This window comes from Homo sapiens, chromosome 2, assembly GCF_000001405.40.
Source record: "Homo sapiens chromosome 2, GRCh38.p14 Primary Assembly".
In the NCBI taxonomy this organism is placed as follows: Eukaryota; Metazoa; Chordata; class Mammalia; order Primates; family Hominidae; genus Homo; species Homo sapiens.
This window is the reverse complement of record NC_000002.12, coordinates 229,797,688-229,818,857: the sequence shown is the minus strand read 5'-3', so window position 1 is coordinate 229,818,857 and position 21,170 is coordinate 229,797,688. Positions and strand designations below refer to the sequence as shown.

Below are 21,170 nucleotides of genomic sequence, written 5' to 3'. Positions count from 1 at the left end.
CAAGCCTTTGCTCACAATTGATATTTCCTTAAAACAGATAATGTTAAAGCTATCAGTTCATACTGGTCTTAGGGATATTATTTTTTGTTTTTGCTGTAAAACCAGTCAAGTTTTCAATTAAGAAGACAGAAGTATATAACTGTGAAAGCATGTTAAGGCAGAGTAGATCCAACTAATTTAATTCTTCCTTCAATGTATTAGCAGTGAGCCTTAACCCTGGTATAGACCTAGTCTTTCATTAGGATGCAAAGAAGATAAGCAACCAATTACATTTCGAGTCACACCTTATACCTAGTAATAATTTTCTTAAATGTTTAAAGATAATAATTATTTTTTTCTCTAAAGGTTCTAAGGCCCAGCAGCTACTACAAGGATTGCAAGCCAGTGATGAAAGTCAACAGCTTCAGGCAGTTATTGAGATGTGTCAGTTACTGGTCATGGGAAATGAGGAGACACTGGGAGGGTTTCCTGTCAAGAGTGTTGTTCCAGCTTTGGTAAGCATAATGTTTTTCCCTCGTTTTTACCTCATTTGTCCTCTGAAATCTGCCGATTTTGTACTGAATGTATGATTATTGTCATTATTAATTTTTAAAACATGATAGAGTTAAGAGAGGAGTATATGACTTGGTGCTTGTATTTCATGCTTACAGATACTGTGAGCAATTGCTAATGAGTTAGCAAATTTTCTAAATCATTTTTTTGATGAATAGTCACCCACTTCTTGATACTTAAATGACTGGTTTTAAGTTGTTCACCTCATCAGTAACCTTGACTCCTGCCATGTAAAATGCACATGCTTTTTCTTTTAGCCTGGTGATCCACGGAGCAATAGGCCAGGGAAGCTCACTCTGGGTTGTGTCGGGGGGCCAGAAAGGTTTCATATTTAGTACGTGTCTACATGGGAATACTACTCAAGCCATATGGTATATATGTGGATCCTTTCAGTTTAAAAGCTTTTATGTTGGCCAGTGGCAATGTCTGACGCCTGTAATCCCAATACTTTGGGAGACCGAGGTAGGTGGATCTTCTGAGGTCAGGAGTTGGAGACCAGGCTGGCCAACATGGTGAAACCCCATCTCTACTAAAAATACAAAAATTAGCCGGGCATGGTTGCAGGTGCCTGTAGATCTCAGCTACTCAGGAGGCTGAGGCAGGACAGTCACTTGAACCTGGAAGGCAGAGAATCGCTCTAATCTCTTGCAGTGAGCCAAGATCGCGCCACTGCACTCCAGCCTGGGCAACAGGAGCAAAACTCTTGTCTCAGAAAAAGAAATAAAAGACTTTAAAAAATCTTTTTAATGCCTTTTCAACACAGTTGTGAGTTGATATTTTGATATGATAGATTTATTAACAGCTTGATTCCTTAAACTTTTAAATATGAAAACAATAGGAAGAAAAATTGCCATTATCAAATGTAGGCACCTTAGCACAATACAGCATTTAAATAGTGGATTGATAATTTTCTTTGTCCAAAATTAAAGAAATTAGGTATAATTTAAGATTAAAATTTGAGTCTAAATCAAACACTACCAAAAGACAAACATAAACATTTACATTTGTGGTATGTTTTATTTTGGAAATTACAGTTAAATGCCATGTAAATCTTTTTTGTATATCCAGTAAAGCTGACAGAAAATGAAGTTATGATTTATACATCATATTGTCCCATTTGATGAGATTATCAAATTATGGAGATAGCTTGAGTTTTGGTGAGAGAGCTGAGTAAAGAAAAGCCTGTGAAATACAAGGTGACAATCCTTATTCTGCTTGTTCTTATTTGGATGGCTCAGCTCTGGCAGAGTTTGATAAAGGATAGAACAATTTCTTCACCTGCCACCCAGATGCAGATAATAAAAGCCAGTTATCAAATTTTATCATTTCCATTCTAGTCAAAGTTGTACATGTTGCTTTCTGAGTGTTTCATAATAGCAATATTATTAACCTTTCAACTTTCAGATTTTGCCTGTGTTAATGTCCATTCTCAGTTTGCTGATTTGTTCAATAGCTGGCTTCTGTGACCTGAATCAAACTTTCATTTGTTTTATTGTTATTGTTGTTTGTTCACTAAGAACTAGCAACAAATAACTAGGCTTACCTTATACTATCTACAGTTAAAATTTAGTTTTTATTAGTTAAATAAAGAAGCCATTAAGTCTAGGCAGAAATGTTGACACATAATTCACTTTACTTAATGTGCTGGTTGTTAATTAGATTTAAGTACCTAATTGACTTGCACAAGTATGCTCTCGCTATTAATAATGGCTGTTATTAATGAGTTCTTCAGATATATCTTTTATCACAGTTGAATATTATTTATATCTCTTCATCACAATACAGTCATGTGACATAAATAGCCATTTTTGGTGAAAGGGTATCTGTTTATATCAGTCATTCCCAAACACAGTATAACAAGGTTATTTAATAATTGGGGAACTTAGTACTTTTTCTTTTAACATGACAGCCCCTTTCAAATTAGACTAAGTGTTTTAAGTGACTGACATTAAGTGATTTGATAGTTTTTTTTTTTTTTTTAAGTCCTGAAATGGAGTGTGTGTATGTGTTATGCTGTTTGTGTGTGTGCTTTTAAACAAAAATAGTCCTTAGGACTTCTGGTATGTAGGTATACTTTACCCAGCACAATTCACAGCTGAGAAGACATTCATATTGAGTGAGTATGGTGTTAGAATATCTGATGTTTGTTGTTGTCATTATAAATTTAATTGAAGGGTACTTAACAAGCTTCAATTCAGTGCATTTAAAAATTTCCATTGAACCAGAAGACAGTGAATGACTGTCTTATCCCCAAGGAGGAAATTTCTTTGGTGACTCAGCTGCTTCGAGAGGACAGAGTGTGTATCCTCAGCAGTTTTGCATTCCTTCATTAGAAAAACATACCTGAAATCTGCTTAAGATCTTTTCCACAAGAAAAACTAAAATGAAATCAGATATTTAAACTTATTCATGCATATATGGAGTAATTATATTAATTTGGCTTTAATTAGTGCATAATTAGTTTCTGATGTGATCTATCTTATGTTTAAATTCTATATTACTGTACATTTTAAAGCTGAGTCAAATGGTGCTTATCTGTTTTAGAGAAGCTTGTTCACAAGAGTTTAAGTTATGGTCCTGAATCTGTGCTGACATTTGTTAACAAATGTCAGTGCATTGCTGATCCTGTTTATTTATGTATCTAGTATTTATTAGCACTAGTAAGTCCTCAGGGATATATTAATAGGCTTCTGAAAGGGGTTAGAGCTACCAAAAGGATAGGTTGTAAGTAACAAGAAGGCTTTGTTTGTGACCTGTATCACGAGGTGATGGTTATCTAGCAGCATACTCAAGTCGGAGTCACCGTGTGTGATGAACCATCCTGAGTGTAATCATTTCTGTGAACGCCTACTAGGTTTTATCTTAAAGTTATTTTTGTGTGGTAAAAGTTAGGAATAATACTTCCATTTCAGTTGAAGTTCAAATAGAAGAGGAAGAAATACCTCTAGGATTTTCCCAAGGAATATAGCTTCTAATATTTTGTTATCTTTTTAACAGATTACGTTACTTCAGATGGAGCACAATTTTGATATTGTAAGTATATATTGTATTTTTTTAATGGTGTATATTTAAGTTTTGAGTTTTTACTCATTAAAATCTCTTCTTTTCTAGATGAACCATGCTTGTCGAGCCTTAACATACATGATGGAAGCACTTCCTCGATCTTCTGCTGTTGTAGTAGATGCTATTCCTGTCTTTTTAGAAAAGGTGATCCTACTTTTACCCCGTTTGTTCAAAAGCAGGCATAGGGAGTCAAGTTTCAAACTCTTGAATTTTAGCTTTCATTTTCTAAATAAAGTATATTTTTTAGCCCGAGAAATGTTTTATGTCCAGCAGATCAATAGTTTGAAGGTGAAGATAAATCATTGATAGAATCAGCCTAGTTTTGTAATTTTTAGTAATAATTAGCACATTAATATAATAACTTTCAGAGAAGAACTTTAAAGTACTTGATTAAAAATAATCTAATTTCTAGAAAACATGCCAGTGAGGTTGATAGCTATTTATACCCTCATTATGTAGCTGAGAAAGTTGAATCAGTGGGGAATAGAAATTTTCATATGGTTTCTAGTAAATTGTGTTTTTGGTCTGTCTTACGGACCTTTTTGTTTGTTTAACGCACAACAAAATTTGCTTTATCTGATAAACTTGCAGTATGGTGTAAAGTTAAAATCTGATTTTAAAATTTTGTTGTGTAAAACAACTCATCTATTTTAAATCTGAAGATTTAAAAGTTATGTAATTGGGTTTGGTTTATTATGTAAAACATATTTTTCAGTATCTTAGAACTGCAAACTGGTTAGAAGGAAACTGTTTTGGCTATACTTTGTAGCTTAAGCTGCTAAGTGACTTGCATCCTATGGTGGGTTACATGTTAGAGATAGTATACATGGATGTAAATTAGAGAAAATATGTAGAAGATAAGTTATTGGGAAAGAACTTAAATGATAACCTTATGGTAACTATATATATGTTCCCAGCTGCAAGTTATTCAGTGTATTGATGTGGCAGAGCAGGCCTTGACTGCCTTGGAGATGTTGTCACGGAGACATAGTAAAGCCATTCTACAGGCGGTAAGTGTTGTTACTGAAGGGGACTACATTTCACTTTATGTAGAATTTTTAAAATCCACATTTGTACAGGCTACTTGATTGCAGTTTTTGTAAGATACAAATGTTGTTTCCAGAGTAATGTGCTAGACTTTTTATGAGTTAAATTATTTTTTATTGCTGATAAAGGATTTTTCTTTACCTTAACAGTTTTCTATATTTTAGGGTGGTTTGGCAGACTGCTTGCTGTACCTAGAATTCTTCAGCATAAATGCCCAAAGAAATGCATTAGCAATTGCAGCTAATTGCTGCCAGAGTATCACGCCAGATGAATTTCATTTTGTGGCAGATTCACTCCCATTGCTAACCCAAAGGCTAACACATCAGGTAAAATATGCATCTATTTTATGTGCCATAAAGTGTTTTATTACTAATTTTTTTAATTTTATATTTTATTTTATTTTATTTTTTTGAGATGGGAGTCTCGCTCTGTTACCCAGGCTAGAGTGCAGTGGTGTGATCTCAGCTCACTGCCACCTCCGCCTCCTGGGTTCAAGCGATTCTCCTGCCTCAGCTTCCCGAGTAGCTGGGATTACAGGCGTGTGCCACCACACCCAGCTCATTTTTGTATTTTTAGTAGAGATGGGGTTTTGCTATGTTGGCCAGGCTGGTCTTGAACTCCTGACCTCAGGTGATCCACCCACCTCAGCCCCCCATAGTGCTGGGATTACAGGCGTGAGCTACCGCGCCCAGCCACTTTTTTAAATGACAATTTCAATTAGTATTTTAAATCTTTAACTGCATATATAATCGAAAATGTTCTGATATTTTTTATTTTTATCCAGTTATGTGCCATATTAGGTTATTTTATAAAATTTTGGTAGATTTATTCAAATGAATAGTAATTCATATGTTTGATGACTTTAACAATTTTGACTTTTAAGGGATGGCTTTGTTATTTCAGCAAACATTGAGTGTTTACTCTGTGATATGATCAGAAGTTCCTTCTGAAAAGATTACTCTTTCTTGAGAGGCATTGGAGGAGGCAGATGGGAGCAGGAGAATATGGGTTAAGACCAGAAGAGAGACTAGACTATGTCCCAAACAGAAATGAAAAATGTAGTTTGTGGCTATCTGGGGTTGGAGAAGAGCAAAAGTGATTATCTAGGTGGCAGAATCAATGGACCTGATGATAACAGTGTGAAAAGCAGGGTTTATGGGCCGGGGATGGTGAGGACAAATTGTGAGTACAGCTTCAAGGCTATGGAGAAATTGAATTTTTTTTTAGCTACAGAGAAATATTTTAAAGCGTTGTTTGTTATTGCTAAAGATATTTCTAGAAACCTGGCTTTAAAATTGCCATTACAAAGTGTGGCTAACCCAGGGAAAATAGGTTCATAAAAATATTTTTAAACAATTTAGGAATTTTTTTTTGTTCTGTTTTGTTTTTGTTTTTGAGACTGAGTCTTACTCTGTTGCCCAGGCTGAAGTGCAGTGGCGTGATCTCACTGCAGCCTCTGCCTCCCTGGTTCAAGCGATTCTTCTGCCTCAGCCTCCTGAATAGCTGGGATTACAGTTGCGTGCCACCACGCCCAGCTAATTTTTGTGTTTTTAGTAGAGACAGGGTTTCGCCATGTTGGCCAGGCTGGTCTCAAACTCCTGCACTCAAGTGATCCACCTGTCTCAGCCTCCCAAAGTGCTGGGATTACAGGCCTAAGCCATGGCACCCGACCAAATAAGGGATTTATGTAAGATAAAATAGTAGTGATCATTGAATCACTCTAGAGCCTTTTGCTTCTAAAATGATCAAGACAAAGTAGTACTATTCATTTTTTAAAAATCTGTTTATGTGTTTATTTTTAAAAAACATAGTTGGCTGGGGGCACAGTGACTCGCACCTGTAATCCCAGCACTTTGGGAGGCCAAGGCAGGTGGATCACCTGAGGTCAAGAGTTAGAGACCAGCCTGACCAACATGCTGAAACCCCATCTGTACTAAAAATAAAAAATTAGCCGGGTGTGGTGGTCCATCCCAGCTACTCAGGAGGCTGAGGCAGGAGGATCGCTTGATCTCGGGAGGCAGAGGTTTGCAGTGAGCTGAGATCGTGCCATTGCACTCCAGCCTGGGTAACAAGAGCGAAACTCTGTCTCAAAAATAATAATAATAAATAAATAAAAACATAGTTGAGATAATCTTTTCTGTAGTCTAAAAGCGTGTTCTCTGTTATGTGATAATCAGTTCCATATGATATTCTTTAGAAATAAGATAAAAGAATTAGAGAACTTAAATAGTCACAATTTGTAGCACTCTTTCTTGATTTATGTAGTGTCAGTGAAGGTTTAGGCTATAGGCTTTTATAATATCTGAATTATTCTCATTTTTGTAGAAACAAGTCTAATTTTTACATATGAAAATTCCACTTTCAAGTTAGGAAAAATCAAGATCTATCAAAACATTAGCCAGTAAAACATTCTTTCCCTTCTTTTTATGACACTTATTTCAAATGTTTTGTCAGTGATGCCACTCTGTTTTTATGACAAATATGGCAAATTGTTTTCATAGTGTAACTTTTTCATAGTGAATTATTTGTTTTTATAGTGAATATTGCAAGTCTATGCCCTATTTTTAACATTGTCAAGAAACCTCTGGTTCTCGCAACTTTCCTTTTTCTAACTTTTTAGTGTGCACCCACTTAAACATTTCTACTTGTAATGGTTTTAAAGGAAAGTAGGATATTTATATATTTCTTTAGTATAACATTTGTTTAGGTATTGAGATTGTGTAAGCATAATAGTTCTTCCTTTTCTGTGTATTTGCTTTTATCTAGTAGGGGCCTTTATACAAGAGAGAGGTTGGTTTGTTTCCTGTTTGTTTTGAAATTGTGATGTTACTGACTGTACCTTGCTTAGGCCCATTTGCATTTTCAAAGCTGTCATTTACTAATTGAGCTTGCCTTGAAGAATCTGGGGTTAGGAGGAAGATAAAGTAGTGATACATGACAGTGAAAATGCTTTATGCTAATAAATTTTATTTTCCTTTATTAAAAAAATAGGATAAAAAGTCAGTAGAAAGCACTTGCCTTTGTTTTGCACGCCTAGTGGACAACTTCCAGCATGAGGAGGTAAGTGTTTAGTCTTTGGTAGTATTTTTATGAGGTTGTTGAATTGCTGAATCTTGATGTAATAATTCCTTTATTCTTGTGTTTGTGAAGAATTTACTCCAGCAGGTTGCTTCCAAAGATCTGCTTACAAATGTTCAACAGCTGTTGGTAGTGACTCCACCCATTTTAAGTTCTGGGATGTTTATAATGGTGGTTCGCATGTTTTCTCTGATGTGTTCCAACTGTCCAACTTTAGCTGTTCAACTTATGAAACAAAGTAAGTGCAAATTTACTGTTCTACTTTAAGCAGGAAAAGTTGGTTCTTCATTAATATGTAAAGTCAACATAAGCCGAGCAAATGGAAGAGATTACTAATATTATAGGCATTGGATAGTAAAGAAAAGTGTTAATATGTAATAAATTTGTGTTGGGACAGTATGTTAATGTTTCTAACATACTCCTTTTAAAGTATAAATTAAATGTTTGCCCTTGGTGTTTCTGGGGCTAACAATACAAAGTCATTAATATCTATGCCATGTTAGTCATGTAACCATCCTTGATTAGGAGAATTCTGAGTTTTATGTTAACCAATAACCAGCTGTCTTCAGCTTATATAGGTTGCTTTTTCTGCCCATGTTAGATTTTCTAGCAATTTTTCTGATTCCAGAATGCTGTCTTCCCTCAAAAAGTAGGAATGTATTTATACTGATGAATGTCTCTGATGTTTGCTAATTTGGTATTTCTAAACCTTTTCAAATTTAGACCTTTCAAATTAAACCTTTCAAATTTAGAAAGGTATTTCTAAACCTTTACACAGTGTGTGGGAAATAAAATTTTATTGCAATGCTCTTGCAGTTGACCATTCCTCTCTCAATCCTTAGACTTAAGTTGATGTCAGAGAATGGTGGGGCATCAGACAACATCTATACGTTATAATTTTTTTCTTCTTTTTAACTTTTTGCAGAGACAAGGTCTCACTGTATTGCCTAGGCTGTTCTTGAAGTCCTGGCCTCAGGCCTTCCTCCCGCCTTGGCCTCCCATAGTACTAGGATTATAGGCATGAGCCATCACACCTGGCTGTTATGATTAGTTCTAGTAGAGTATTGATCACTTTTGTATAGAATACCTTTAATTGTTTGTAATTTCATAGCCATAATTCTAATCTCTATGGATGTTACCTTGGGAGTCAGTGATGATATTAACTGATAAAATGGTCTTTGGTCCCACTCTGTCTGAGTGGTCTCGTACTGTCTGAGACAGTATATTTAGCAGTATAGTATTTTCATTTTAGGGGAACTCAGTTTTATATTTAGTTGCTTTTCTTGTGAATTAACACATTGGCACAGAACTTTGTAGAAAAATAATGTTGAGGTGGCTACTTGGAAAGATTCTCCGTAAAGCATTGAGTCTTTTCCAAACTTGGTATTCCAGACAACCCTATTTTGAGTGGTCCTGAAGAAAGTGCTCTTTCCCTAAATAAGATTGGGAAAGGTTCAACTCTTTCTTGAGTATCCGCAATTCATTTTACTTACTAAAGTCTCTAGGAGTTCTTTGAACCTTGCTTATCCCAACATTTCCTGAATCATGTAAGAGAGATTATTTCTTGTTAATGTATGTTTTGTTACAGCACATCCCTAAATACTAGTTTGGGAAATTGCTGCCTGCCTTTTGTTTTAACATTTTTTTTCTTTTAGTATATGTTCACCTCTTTTGCATGCTCCAGGCAGTTTACCACATGTTTATCATATGGAGGTCACCATAGTTGTTTACTGTAATAACCCTATAAAAGGAAATGTAGGCCTCTTCTATCTGTCTCTATTTTGTTGTCATCCCTTGACTTCTAAAAAAAATAAAATCCTTATAATGCAGCATACCATGTATTCAAACTTCTCTATAAAGTTGCAAAACTGTAATTAAAAAAAAAATCTTAATCACTAATTGTGAAATTCTGTGTGGCAGGCAGTTCACTATCCACATCTCTGCCCAAATCATTAATGAATATTTTTCTTGATAACAGAACTTACTGATTATTGGCAAAACATTCTAATAAAATGTTTATGTATATTTTGCATATGTATAATATTTACAGGAACACACACACAATCAGCAAAGACCCAGCTGTGTCTTTAGGTTTCAGCTTTCCTTAGGTTTAGACTGACTAAACGGTAGAGACTGAGAGTTCCCTCCACTCACAGTGTCAGCACATCTGCGTGGTTATCACGCAGAGTCCTCCAGAAAATGATGTCTTCTGGGAATGGAAACTTACAGTAGAGAATGCCTGCCTGATCCTTGTATCAAGTTTGCATGTAATCAGTGTTGCTTAGGTAGTGATTTTCCTGATCACAATACAATAAGATTCAGTTACATTTAATTGTTAACGTTTTATACTATGGGCCACATATTTTCAGTATATTTGAATTGAAGACAAGTACATAAATATATTTGATTTGTGGTATGTTGAATGCATTTTTGTGCAAAGTACGATGCTTCTCAAGGAAAGAAATAAAGGGTTCCTGAAGTCTCAGGGGTGAGAAGGAATTGTGATTAGGCACCCAGCTAGGTTTGGACTAAAGAACGAAGTCTCCAGAAAGAGATTGTTAAAATCTACACAAATTTTTTTTAGGCCTTTATTACAGCACTTTTGCATTTTTTACATTAATTTCTGCATTATGTTGCTTTGTAAGAAAATGATTCTGATTATTTTCCCCCCTTGGGCAATGTTTGCCTTTGAATGAGGTAGTATAACTAGTTTAATAGCCTTTTGTTTTTTGTTGTTGGTTTTTACAGACATTGCAGAAACGCTTCACTTTCTCCTGTGTGGTGCCTCCAATGGAAGTTGTCAGGAACAGATTGATCTTGTTCCACGAAGCCCTCAAGAGTTGTATGAACTGACATCTCTGATTTGGTAAAGATTGGGCTAAATATCACTTTGGGAGGCCAAGGCGGGTGAATCACGAGGTCAGGAGTTCGAGACCAGCCTGGCCAACATGATGAAAACCCGTCTCTACTAAAAATACAAAAAATTACCTGGGCGTAGTGGCGGGCGCCTGTAATCCCAGCTGCTTGGGAGGCCAAGACAGGAGAAATTGCTTGAACCTGGGAGGCGGAGGTTGCAGTGAGCTGAGATCGTGCCACTGCCATCCAGCCTGGGCGACAGAGTGAGACTCTGTCTCCAAAAAAAAAATTGGTCTAAATACAACTTTTGGTTTGTGTGAGATTATTTTTCTTTAGAGACCTAACGTTTACTAATATTTCATAAAGTTACTAAAATTATTGTACTTTTTGTTTTCAGTGAACTTATGCCATGTTTACCAAAAGAAGGCATTTTTGCAGTTGATACCATGTTGAAGAAGGGAAATGCACAGAACACAGATGGTGCGATATGGCAGTGGCGTGATGATCGGGGCCTCTGGCATCCATATAACAGGATTGACAGCCGGATCATTGAGGTAGTAGTTTCATCGTACCGTTTAAATGTGTCTATTTTGTTGGAGAGTGGGTGTAGGGATGGAATGGGGAGGTGGATATGTGGATTTGAATGTGCTTGATTTTGAATTAACTCAAGATTCTCTCATTTTGTCTCCTGAGAACAAGGTCCTCATTTCTGTTCAGGTCAGAAAACTTCATGTTCTAGTCCTGCTTCTGCTGCTAACTACCTGATTGACTTGGAGCAAGTAATTTAAGTTTGTTGTTCCATAGTTTCCTCATTTCTGAAAGGAAACATTGGAAGACTTAGGCCGTAGGTTTCTAAAATTTATCTATCTTCTATCAGAAAGCAATGTCCCATGAGCAAAGATTTACATACAAATAGTTTCCTCTCAATATTTTTCCAGAGCAGAAACGTGGAAACAAATGAAATAGCCAGTTCTGGGTAAATAGTTAAGTAAATTGTGATACACGTAGGCTTGTATGTTATCCAGATATTATTGGGACAAATTTTAATGATATAAAATCAAATATGAATGAAAAACACTATACAATATTAAGTGAATCTTTTTGGAATTCAGCAAAATAAGTGAACATATGAATAATACAAAGGGGAGGAATGTACCAAAATGTTGACAGTGATTTTCTGTGACAGTTTTATGTGATTTTTATTTTTACTTCCTTATATATTGTTTGCACTGAAATATTTTTAAAACTAAATGAGCATAATATTTGCTCTAGCTTAGGAGGTGTTGATCACTGTGTTATTTGTGATGCCATGCATAATTTACTATTTTCAATACATGAGACACCTGTAAGAATTTATCTATTTTCTAATTTCAATCTTTGATGTTTGAATTCTTTTTAGAACATCACACATTTTGAATAGACAGTCTTCTTTAAAGGTGCCTTCTAGTTCGTTTCTAAAAATGAATTTTAGAAAAAATTTTAAACCAATGACTTACCTCATAAAATCAAGAGTTTTAAAAATAAATCCAGTTTCAGAGCAAGCTTTTATGAGAAAATTGACTTTGACTGGTCTTCTGTGCAGCATTATATATAAGCAGTGTATAAGCAGGCCAATCCTGCTAATAGTGGTCCTGGTCTCTAACTCTAAGTCGTCTTCTTTTTAGCATTTTCCTGATCATTGCACCTTCACTATTAGCTTACTCTCTCATATGTGCTGAGAGTCTTGTCTTCCATTCAGCCTAGGAGTTCCATAGATTGGATTCTGTAATGAGAATATTTTGTCACTTCTGTAGTCTGTTTAAAGTCAAACTGTGCTAATTGAACTGTGTCAATTTAAATATGTTCTGTATACCACACACAACCTTGGCGATTAATCTGTTTCAGTTGTGTCCCTTTCAGTCTTAAAGTTATCTTTGTTTAATGAGGACAATTTTATAGGATCATTTTGTTTAAGGGAGGATTTTGGTAGGTCGCTAAGAATTCATCATGTAAATAATATTTTTAATCTAAGAATACTAAGATATATGGATAACTGATTTTTTATAAGCAATGTCTTAAAAGCATTCTCAATACAAATGGTGTCTTCTTTGTGTCAGTGATGCTACACAGGTGGATCTTTCATCAAGATTTTACCTGCATTTATGTCTAAGGGTCCCTGATAAGGCTTGAGGCATGTAACCTATGTCTAATTAAAAATGATTTGTTGAATGAATGAGTTTTGTCATATCTACACTATTATTCCATCTTCTGTTAACTTCACCATCTAAAACCTGTTGAAATAAATATGTAAGATAGCATATTTGGAGGGTCCCCACTGTGTCTTAAGGTAATAGATTTCTCAATGTTTATATTCAAAGTTTCTCTCTCTTTGCTCTCAGGCAGCCCATCAGGTCGGTGAGGATGAGATAAGCTTGTCCACTCTGGGACGAGTTTATACTATTGATTTTAATTCTATGCAGCAAATCAATGAGGACACGGGAACAGCACGTGCCATTCAGAGAAAACCTAACCCGTTAGCCAATAGTAACACTAGTAAGTACATTCTGAGTTAAAATAGCACTATACTATTGTGCAATATTTTGTGTTTGCATAATAAATAATAATTGGCTTATTAAGTATCTTTTTAAGCTTAAGACAATTGCATAACAATAATTTGGTTTTCGATTTTTTAAATCATGTCCATTAATGGATGAGTGAGCCAGTATTAACTGGTATCTTTTCCACAATTTGTCTGCTTACCTGATGTCCTGAGATTCGAGTCAGAATTTGCTCATACAGATTTTTATCTGATCCTGTCATTACTATTATACCTTTAGATCCATTGACTAGTTCTTTCCAACCTTGTATTTTATACCTTCCTGCCAAAATTATCTGAACTAATTAAGGACAGATAATTGTGATTAAAAAAACAAAACAAAACAAAACCAGGTTTCTGACATTTATCTGTCCCCTCAGGGATTTAGTTCATTGCTTTTTCAGCCCTAGTTTAGAGAACAGTGGTCTGCAAATATTTTTGTTGTTGTTGTTGTTGTTGTTGTTTTGAAAAGGGCCAGGTAGTGCTGGGCATGGTGTCTCACGCCTGTAATCCCAGCACTTTGGGAGGCTGAGGCAGGCAGATCACGAGGTCAGGAGATGGAGACCATCCTGGCTAACACGGTGAAACCCTATCTCTACTAAAAATACAAAAAACTAGCCGAGCGTGGTGGTGGGCGCCTGTAGTCCCAGCTACTCAGGAGGCTGAGGCAGAGGAATGGCGTGAACCCGGGAAGCGGAGCTTGCAGTGAGCTGAGATCCTGCCACCACACTCCAGCCTGGGTGACAGAGTGAGACTCTGTCTGAATAAATAAATAAATTAATTAAATAAAATAAAGGGCCAGATAGTAAATAATATAAGTGTTGCAGGTTATATATAGTCTATACTCACCACCATTGCCATTGTAGCCCTCAATTAGCCATATACAATATGTGAACAAATGTACATGGCTGCGTTCTAATAAAATTATATTTACAAAAACCGGTGGTGGACTGGATTCGGCTTACAGACCGTACTTTGTCAACCCCTTGTATATAACTTACTGCTTATCAGTTATCTTTTCCTTACACTTTATGTCACTAAGCAAAGTGGTAGAATTACCTTCTTTATCCATTTTACAAAGCTTTTAGTGAAATATGGTGCATTTCTAGAACTCAGTTTCTTACCACTGGTTTGGTTGGTTAGGATTGGATTTCCCTATTGTTTCATTGAATGTATATCAGTAAAATAAAGAGGTACAGTGCGGTGATGAATTGTTACTTTCAGCTGGCCCCAATGGGTCACTAGTTTTCTAGACAGCTGAATTTTGTCTGTCTTAATGTTGCCTTTAGCATCTTTGTAAATCCTAGTTGATCATATCATAGAAGTTCATGTGTTCTATAATGAAAAAGTTTTCATAGCATTTCAAGAATTACACTGGCTTGAGTATTTTATATTGTTTATTGTGTTTCTGAAGTCTGTCACTTCAGGATTGCACATATATTTTTTTTTAATGTAATAGGTGGATATTCAGAGTCAAAGAAGGATGATGCTCGAGCACAGCTTATGAAAGAGGATCCGGAACTGGCTAAGTCTTTTATTAAGACATTATTTGGTGTTCTTTATGAAGTGTATAGTTCCTCAGCAGGACCTGCGGTCAGACATAAGTGCCTTAGAGCAATTCTTAGGATAATTTATTTTGCGGATGCTGAACTTCTGAAGGATGTTCTGAAAAATCATGCTGTTTCAAGGTGTGTTAATGAAAATAGTAGAAACATTTTACAAATACAAATCTCTGCAAGTAATTTCAGAAACCTCTAAAGTAATAATAGAAAAAATATGCACAAAAATTTGTTAGGAGTATCTTGAGCTCTTTTTTGTCTATTTATATTCACATAATAGCTTTTATAAAATATAAAACTTGAGCATTTAAGAAAAATGTTTATGTTAATAGAATGGTTTCACAATGAAAATGCTTTGCTCTCAATTTAAAGTAGTATGGCCAAAAATAATCATCAAATTCAGGCAGAGTTTTATATACAAATGCTTTCTTTTTTTAGTCACATTGCTTCCATGCTGTCAAGCCAAGACCTGAAGATAGTAGTGGGAGCACTTCAGATGGCAGAAATTTTAATGCAGAAGTTACCTGATATTTTTAGTGTTTACTTCAGAAGAGAAGGTAATGTCATATAAATTAATAGTCATTTAGTCTAGATAGTACTTCAACAGAAATAAAGTTTTAATCTGTCGAGCAAAAACTGATAGCTTTTCAATTTAAAAATGACATTTAAAGCTCTGTTAGCTTATAGCTCTGTGTACGTAGAATGTGTCTTTTAGGCTGGGCGTGGTGGCTCACGCCTGTAACCCCAGCACTTTGGGAGGCCAAGGCAGGTGGATCACTTGAGGTCAGGAGTTGGAGACCAGCCTGGCCAACATGGTGAAACCCAGTCTTTAAGAAAAATACAAAAATTAGCGGGGTGTGGTGGTGCACACCTGGGCTGATGTCAAACTCCTTGCCTCAAGCAATCCTACTGCCTCAGCGTGGGATTACAGTTTGTCTTTTAATAAGAGTCTGATAGAATGATAGAAGCCGTGGACTCTTCCCCAGAAAAATGTGAACGTGTGCTCATTCACTCACGTTAAATATATCCACATATTTGCATATAGTTTATACTAGCTGATAATCAGACATGCATATTGGTATACAATTTGATAGTTCTTAGTCACACTCCTTCATACATACTCTCCTATGATTCCGGGACAGATAGGAACCCCTGCCTCACAAGTTAATGTTTAGCTCTCTTTACACACCTTAAAGGATGTGATAGTTCCCACCCTTCAATAGCTGGTTTTTTTTTTGGTGGCAGTGTTAATGTGATCTTGTCTTTTTGTAGCGCTTGAAGTTAACTGATTCTTGGTCTTTTCCATCCCTTCTGGCTGTCACACCACAGGGTGTGCACTGTATTTCTGTAGTTGATTATTGTTTTTATAATGAGTATTTTGAACTCTGAATAGGACTTTGTGACCCTATTAAGTTTTATATAATCTGGTTTTGAAGATTAGAAGACATTCAATATCAGTATTTTTCTTTAACCTTTAGTTTTTATATTTTTTTCTGATTGAAGTCAAGTTGAAAACTCTGGCTCCTAATTTCTTTTACCTATTTGCCAGTTATGTTTTAGTCTTTTTGTGTATTATGTCAGTGTTGGTATTTAGGGATTTTGTAATGGTGGGGAGAAGGTTCTACTCCTGATTAAAACTGACTCCCTTTCATCTCTGTTATTATAAAGGTGTAATGCATCAAGTAAAACACTTAGCAGAATCAGAGTCTTTGTTGACAAGTCCACCAAAGGCATGTACGAATGGATCGGGATCCATGGGATCCACAACTTCAGTCAGCAGTGGGACAGCCACAGCTGCCACTCATGCTGCAGCTGACTTGGGATCACCCAGCTTGCAGCACAGCAGGGATGATTCTTTAGATCTCAGCCCTCAAGGGTAAGTAAGAATTGTGTTGTGATTTTTATTTCTTTGCTGTTAGCGCTGCTTTGGTACCTAAGAATCATATAGGGAGTAAAATGGTAACATATTAGCATATATATATTATATTTTTCCTTTTGTATTTTGTTAATGAGAATGGGAAGAAAACATTTATTGGAAACCTACTGTATTGGGCTGTGTTTAGGAACTGTAAGAGATTAGTTTTATTCCCACTGACATACAAGGAAACTAAAGTTCAGAGACATTTGTGACTTGCACGGTGTTACACACTTATGTTACTTGTAGGCTCTAACATTGTGGGATTTGAATTCTGGTTTCTGATTTCATAATCTTGTGACTATTTTTTGTGCTGCTGCATACATACGACCTCAGAGACATCCAGATATTAATACAGTTAAAAATACTGAAAATTAGAAGTCTTAGAATAAAGGCCAAAAAATACTGATTCCCCATTTATCTTTAATTGGCAACTGGGAGTTAAATACTTTGCTTTTAATAAGGGAAAATGAGAGTTCTTAAATTCTCTACTCCCATTTATTTATCAGCTTTTAATCTTTGTTATACCATGCTACTAAGAATGTTTCCAAAACTTCCATTGGTTTCCATTTTGTTGTGTTAGAAACAAATCACACTCTAAAAGTGTTTTTATTTCCTTGCTATTAGAAGCTTAATATTACTAGATGAGTGGTACCTGATGAACCAAATTCAGTTCTGAAATTCAGTATGTATTCACTTCAGTACTCTTTCTGGCTCCTTTTAAACTGAAAAGTAGATCATGCTAAAATATAGTAATAATAAGTGGGGTCCAAAAATTTAATCTTATAATCTGCAGGGTAGCATTGTCTTGTGCAGGCAGCCAACTCAGGTAGGAGAGGGGATGAGGGGAATTTGGTGCCACCTGGTGGCAGTTTTCTAGTCCAGCTTAAATATGAATTTTGGCAGTTTCAAGACTTCTGGCAGACTGAACTTCTGGCACAGTGGGTATTATTTTAGGAAACTGCTGAGTTTAACTGGCACCCATGTTGTTTGACCAGTCTGAGGAGATTGGGCTTGGAGAGTTCTGGGGACTCTTCCACATCCCTGATTCTGCAGTTGCTTTTGTCTGCCATTTTCCTTTCCAGCCTTGCTCTCTCCTTTACTTCCTTCCCAGCCCCATTCCTACCCACTAGCTGCTGCAGTAACATAAGTTATTGCAGGGTTTTACTGTAATGTAGGCATGGTGCCTGAGACATCATAGATACTCAGTAAATTACAGAGAGTGATACAGTTCAGACAATTGCAGTATTTCTTTCCCTTTAAAAATGTTTTCCTTTCTCCCTTTTTTCTTTTTCTTTTTTTCAAAAAGAGACACAGCATGGGGTCTTGCTCTGTTTCTCAGGCTAACCTCGAACTCCCGGGCTCAAGTGACCCTCCCTACCTTGGCCTCCGAAGTAGCTGGGACTACAGGCATGTGCTAGCATGCCCAGCTCAAATGCAGTATTTCTGAGCCATTTTAATTTAAGGAGTTGGAATTGATTATAGAGTCTAACAGTTGATTATGCCAAAGAAAGAGAAAATAACTTTTTTCTTAAAATATTTTTACATGGTTTTAAATAGTTTTAAGTGGTTCCATATTACAGCATGGTTGCAAATGAAAAATTCATGTTAATTTTTTTTAAATGAAAATTGTTTAATTACATTTTTCATCCTTTGAAAGTTCATTTTTCCTGATTGTCAAGCACATTTGAGCACATTATTAAGTATATTCCATAGAAATGTCAGGTGTTGGAAATTTTCCAATTTTTTTTCAGATTTTTCCAGTTTTATTTGGGCCACAGACCAACTAAACCACAACATTTTTCAGCCTTTTCATCTTATTTAGTTTTGTTATTCTAAAAATTTATTGCTGTTACAAACTATTTCTACTGTCGTTAGAACAGGCTACAGGTGTTTAATTTTGCAAATGATTCTAATTCAGAATAAATTACTCATACTACTCACTAGATTTGTATATAGGTTTAAAAAAACCAACTAAAATGTTCATAAATGCATTTATTTAGTATGTTATTGCCATTGTCACACTATGAAATTACTTTGGGTAGTATGTTAGAGGCAGATGAGTATTTTGACAACATGAACACTAAGGGTCATGTATATTTTACTCACGGCCATTTTGGTTATGGAAAAAGTGTGTTATGTGGATTTAACATTCTTTTTCAGGTTGGTGATTACCCGTTTATTTTTATTTTGCTCCTTTGTGTTGCATATTTGCTTTATGTACTTATATACTACTATTTAAAGTGGAACACATAGAAAATTGATCAGTCATCTTATCTGGCTTTATGTTTCATAGTTCAGTATAGTTAAACAGCTAGTTATTTTCTGAATAATCATTTGCTGTGTCTGCACACCTCTAGAACATGACTGGCACAGAATTGGCATTAAATAATCACTAAACAAGAACATACCTTGTTATGACAGTATTTTTTTTTTTTTTGAGATGGAGTCTCACTATCTCCCAGGCTGGAGTGCAGTGGCGCTATCTCGGCTCACTGCAAGCTCCGCCTCCCGGGTTCACGCCATTCTCCTGCCTCAGCCTCCTCAGTAGCTGAGACTACAGGCGCCCGCCACCACGCCCGGCTAATTTTTGTATTTTTAGTAGAGATGGGGTTTCACCATGTTAGCCAGGATGGTCTTGATCTCCTGACCTCGTGATCTGCCCGCCTCGGCCTCCCAAAGTGCTGGGATTACAGGCGTGAGCCACCGCGCCCGGCCTGACAGTATTTTATTACTCCCTGTTTCTGCCATTTTAGTTTGCTTTTTCAGTGAGTGAAGATATAAAACAGTGGTAATTGCTAAACTTATCTCATATTTTCCCATGGACAGTCGATTAAGTGATGTTCTAAAGAGAAAACGACTGCCAAAACGAGGGCCAAGAAGGCCAAAGTACTCACCTCCAAGAGATGATGACAAAGTAGACAATCAAGGTAACCCCTTTGATGAAACTATGGGGAGGTAAAGGGGAGGGTGGTAGCAGGTGCAGAAATGTACTTTATTAAAACTGCCAGTAGCTCTTGAAGTATGCCTAAGTTTCCTGAGGACTAAGTGTTCTTAGTTCTTTCAGTTAATTAATCTGTTAAGACTGTGAATCTTAAAAATCAGTTGTTTTTCATCACTTAAACTAAAATGACTTAACTGTAGTTCTTTTTTCTTTTCATAGCTAAAAGCCCCACCACTACTCAGTCACCTAAATCTTCTTTCCTGGCAAGCTTGAATCCAAAAACATGGGGAAGGTTAAGTACACAGTCCAACAGCAACAACATTGAGCCAGCACGGACTGCGGGAGGTAGTGGCCTTGCCAGGGCTGCCTCAAAGGATACCATCTCCAATAATAGGTGAAGTGGGGGGAGTTTTATGTTTCTTCTATTCCCATATCAGAAAAACTTAAACATTATTTCAGCCAGTACGTTTATTGTGTGGAGACGATACATAGACACAGCACTTTAATTTGTTCTTAAAAGCATAGTTCAAGAATTAGGTAGTTTCTCAGTTTATGAACCCTGCATCTGGCTTTGTCCTAAGTTCCAGTCATGTGCTTTGAAACTCCTTCCAGCATACCTAGCTGAAAGTCTTATACGTTCAAAACCACATTGTATTCCTTGGGGAACCTCTTCCTCAGTTTTGTTCCAGACAAGGAAAAGCTGACATTTTCTGTCCACATTCTTCACATCTTTTATGATAAAATTTCTCTACCCATTACAATGGAACTTCAGGATTTTAGGGGAGAGCCTTTTTTTTTTTTTTTAAGTCCTTGGGACTTGTTTTATTTTTGGGTTCTGCATGTAGCATACCAACATGATTACTTCCCTCTGCAGATAAGAAATTTTAAAAGACCAAATGTCATTGAGAAAATAAACATGCTCTCTTTGGTTTTGTTGGTTGTTTTTCTTAATTTCAGTGTATAAAAATAATTAAGTGAATGGATTTCTGAAGCCATCAGCATTTGTAATTTAAGCAGCCGGGTCTTATTTGCCATAGCTTATTACATCCTTAATAGGCGCATGTTTCTGGTCTGTAAATCTTTACTTCAGCTCTCCAGGAAACACAAGTTAAGGATAATGCAGATATGTATGTACTTTAGGAAGTAAAGGGAACACTTAGGAAAGTGTTATATTGCAGGGTTCCAAAAAATTATTACACTTTGTTTACAATTCATGTAATGACCTGCAGTGTATTTTAAGTTTTTAAACAGTTCTCCAGGTGGTACATCGTAGCCCATTTTCAAAGTGAAAGTTAATTTGGTTATGGAATCTGGAGTTTTTAAACTGTAAGCATAGACCAGGATGAATTTTAAATGTAGCAGCTATTTGCCTTGATCAGAAGTTATATCCTTTCTACATACACTGGGACTTTAATATCTCCTTTTTGTTTCTTGTAGAGAAAAAATTAAAGGTTGGATTAAGGAGCAGGCACATAAATTTGTAGAACGTTATTTCAGTTCTGAGAATATGGATGGAAGCAACCCTGCATTGAATGTCCTTCAGAGACTTTGTGCTGCAACCGAACAACTCAACCTCCAGGT

At 36.1% G+C, this 21,170-nt stretch overlaps 1 protein-coding gene across 58 annotated transcripts in view; it reads left to right on the top strand.

Moving 5' to 3' along the window:
• TRIP12 (thyroid hormone receptor interactor 12) overlaps window positions 1-21,170 on the top strand; it is a 159,350-nt gene that overhangs the window by 104,329 nt on the left and 33,851 nt on the right. For 22 of the 58 annotated variants that reach the window (NM_001284216.2, XM_047446390.1, XM_047446384.1 and 19 more), the window contains 16 exons: window positions 346-494; window positions 3,550-3,585; window positions 3,664-3,759; window positions 4,533-4,625; window positions 4,827-4,988; window positions 7,654-7,722; window positions 7,813-7,978; window positions 10,489-10,606; window positions 10,994-11,150; window positions 12,975-13,128; window positions 14,631-14,859; window positions 15,169-15,287; window positions 16,399-16,606; window positions 19,475-19,575; window positions 19,809-19,983; window positions 21,027-21,168. In NM_001284216.2, coding sequence (NP_001271145.1) covers window positions 346-494; window positions 3,550-3,585; window positions 3,664-3,759; window positions 4,533-4,625; window positions 4,827-4,988; window positions 7,654-7,722; window positions 7,813-7,978; window positions 10,489-10,606; window positions 10,994-11,150; window positions 12,975-13,128; window positions 14,631-14,859; window positions 15,169-15,287; window positions 16,399-16,606; window positions 19,475-19,575; window positions 19,809-19,983; window positions 21,027-21,168 — 2,174 coding nt within the window. Of the gene's footprint in view, window positions 1-345; window positions 495-3,549; window positions 3,586-3,663; window positions 3,760-4,532; window positions 4,626-4,826; window positions 4,989-7,653; window positions 7,723-7,812; window positions 7,979-10,488; window positions 10,607-10,993; window positions 11,154-12,974; window positions 13,129-14,630; window positions 14,860-15,168; window positions 15,288-16,398; window positions 16,607-19,474; window positions 19,576-19,808; window positions 19,984-21,026; window positions 21,169-21,170 lie in introns of all 58 variants that reach the window. The other 36 variants (XM_047446397.1, XM_047446395.1, NM_004238.3 and 33 more) reach the window with 3 other exon arrangements.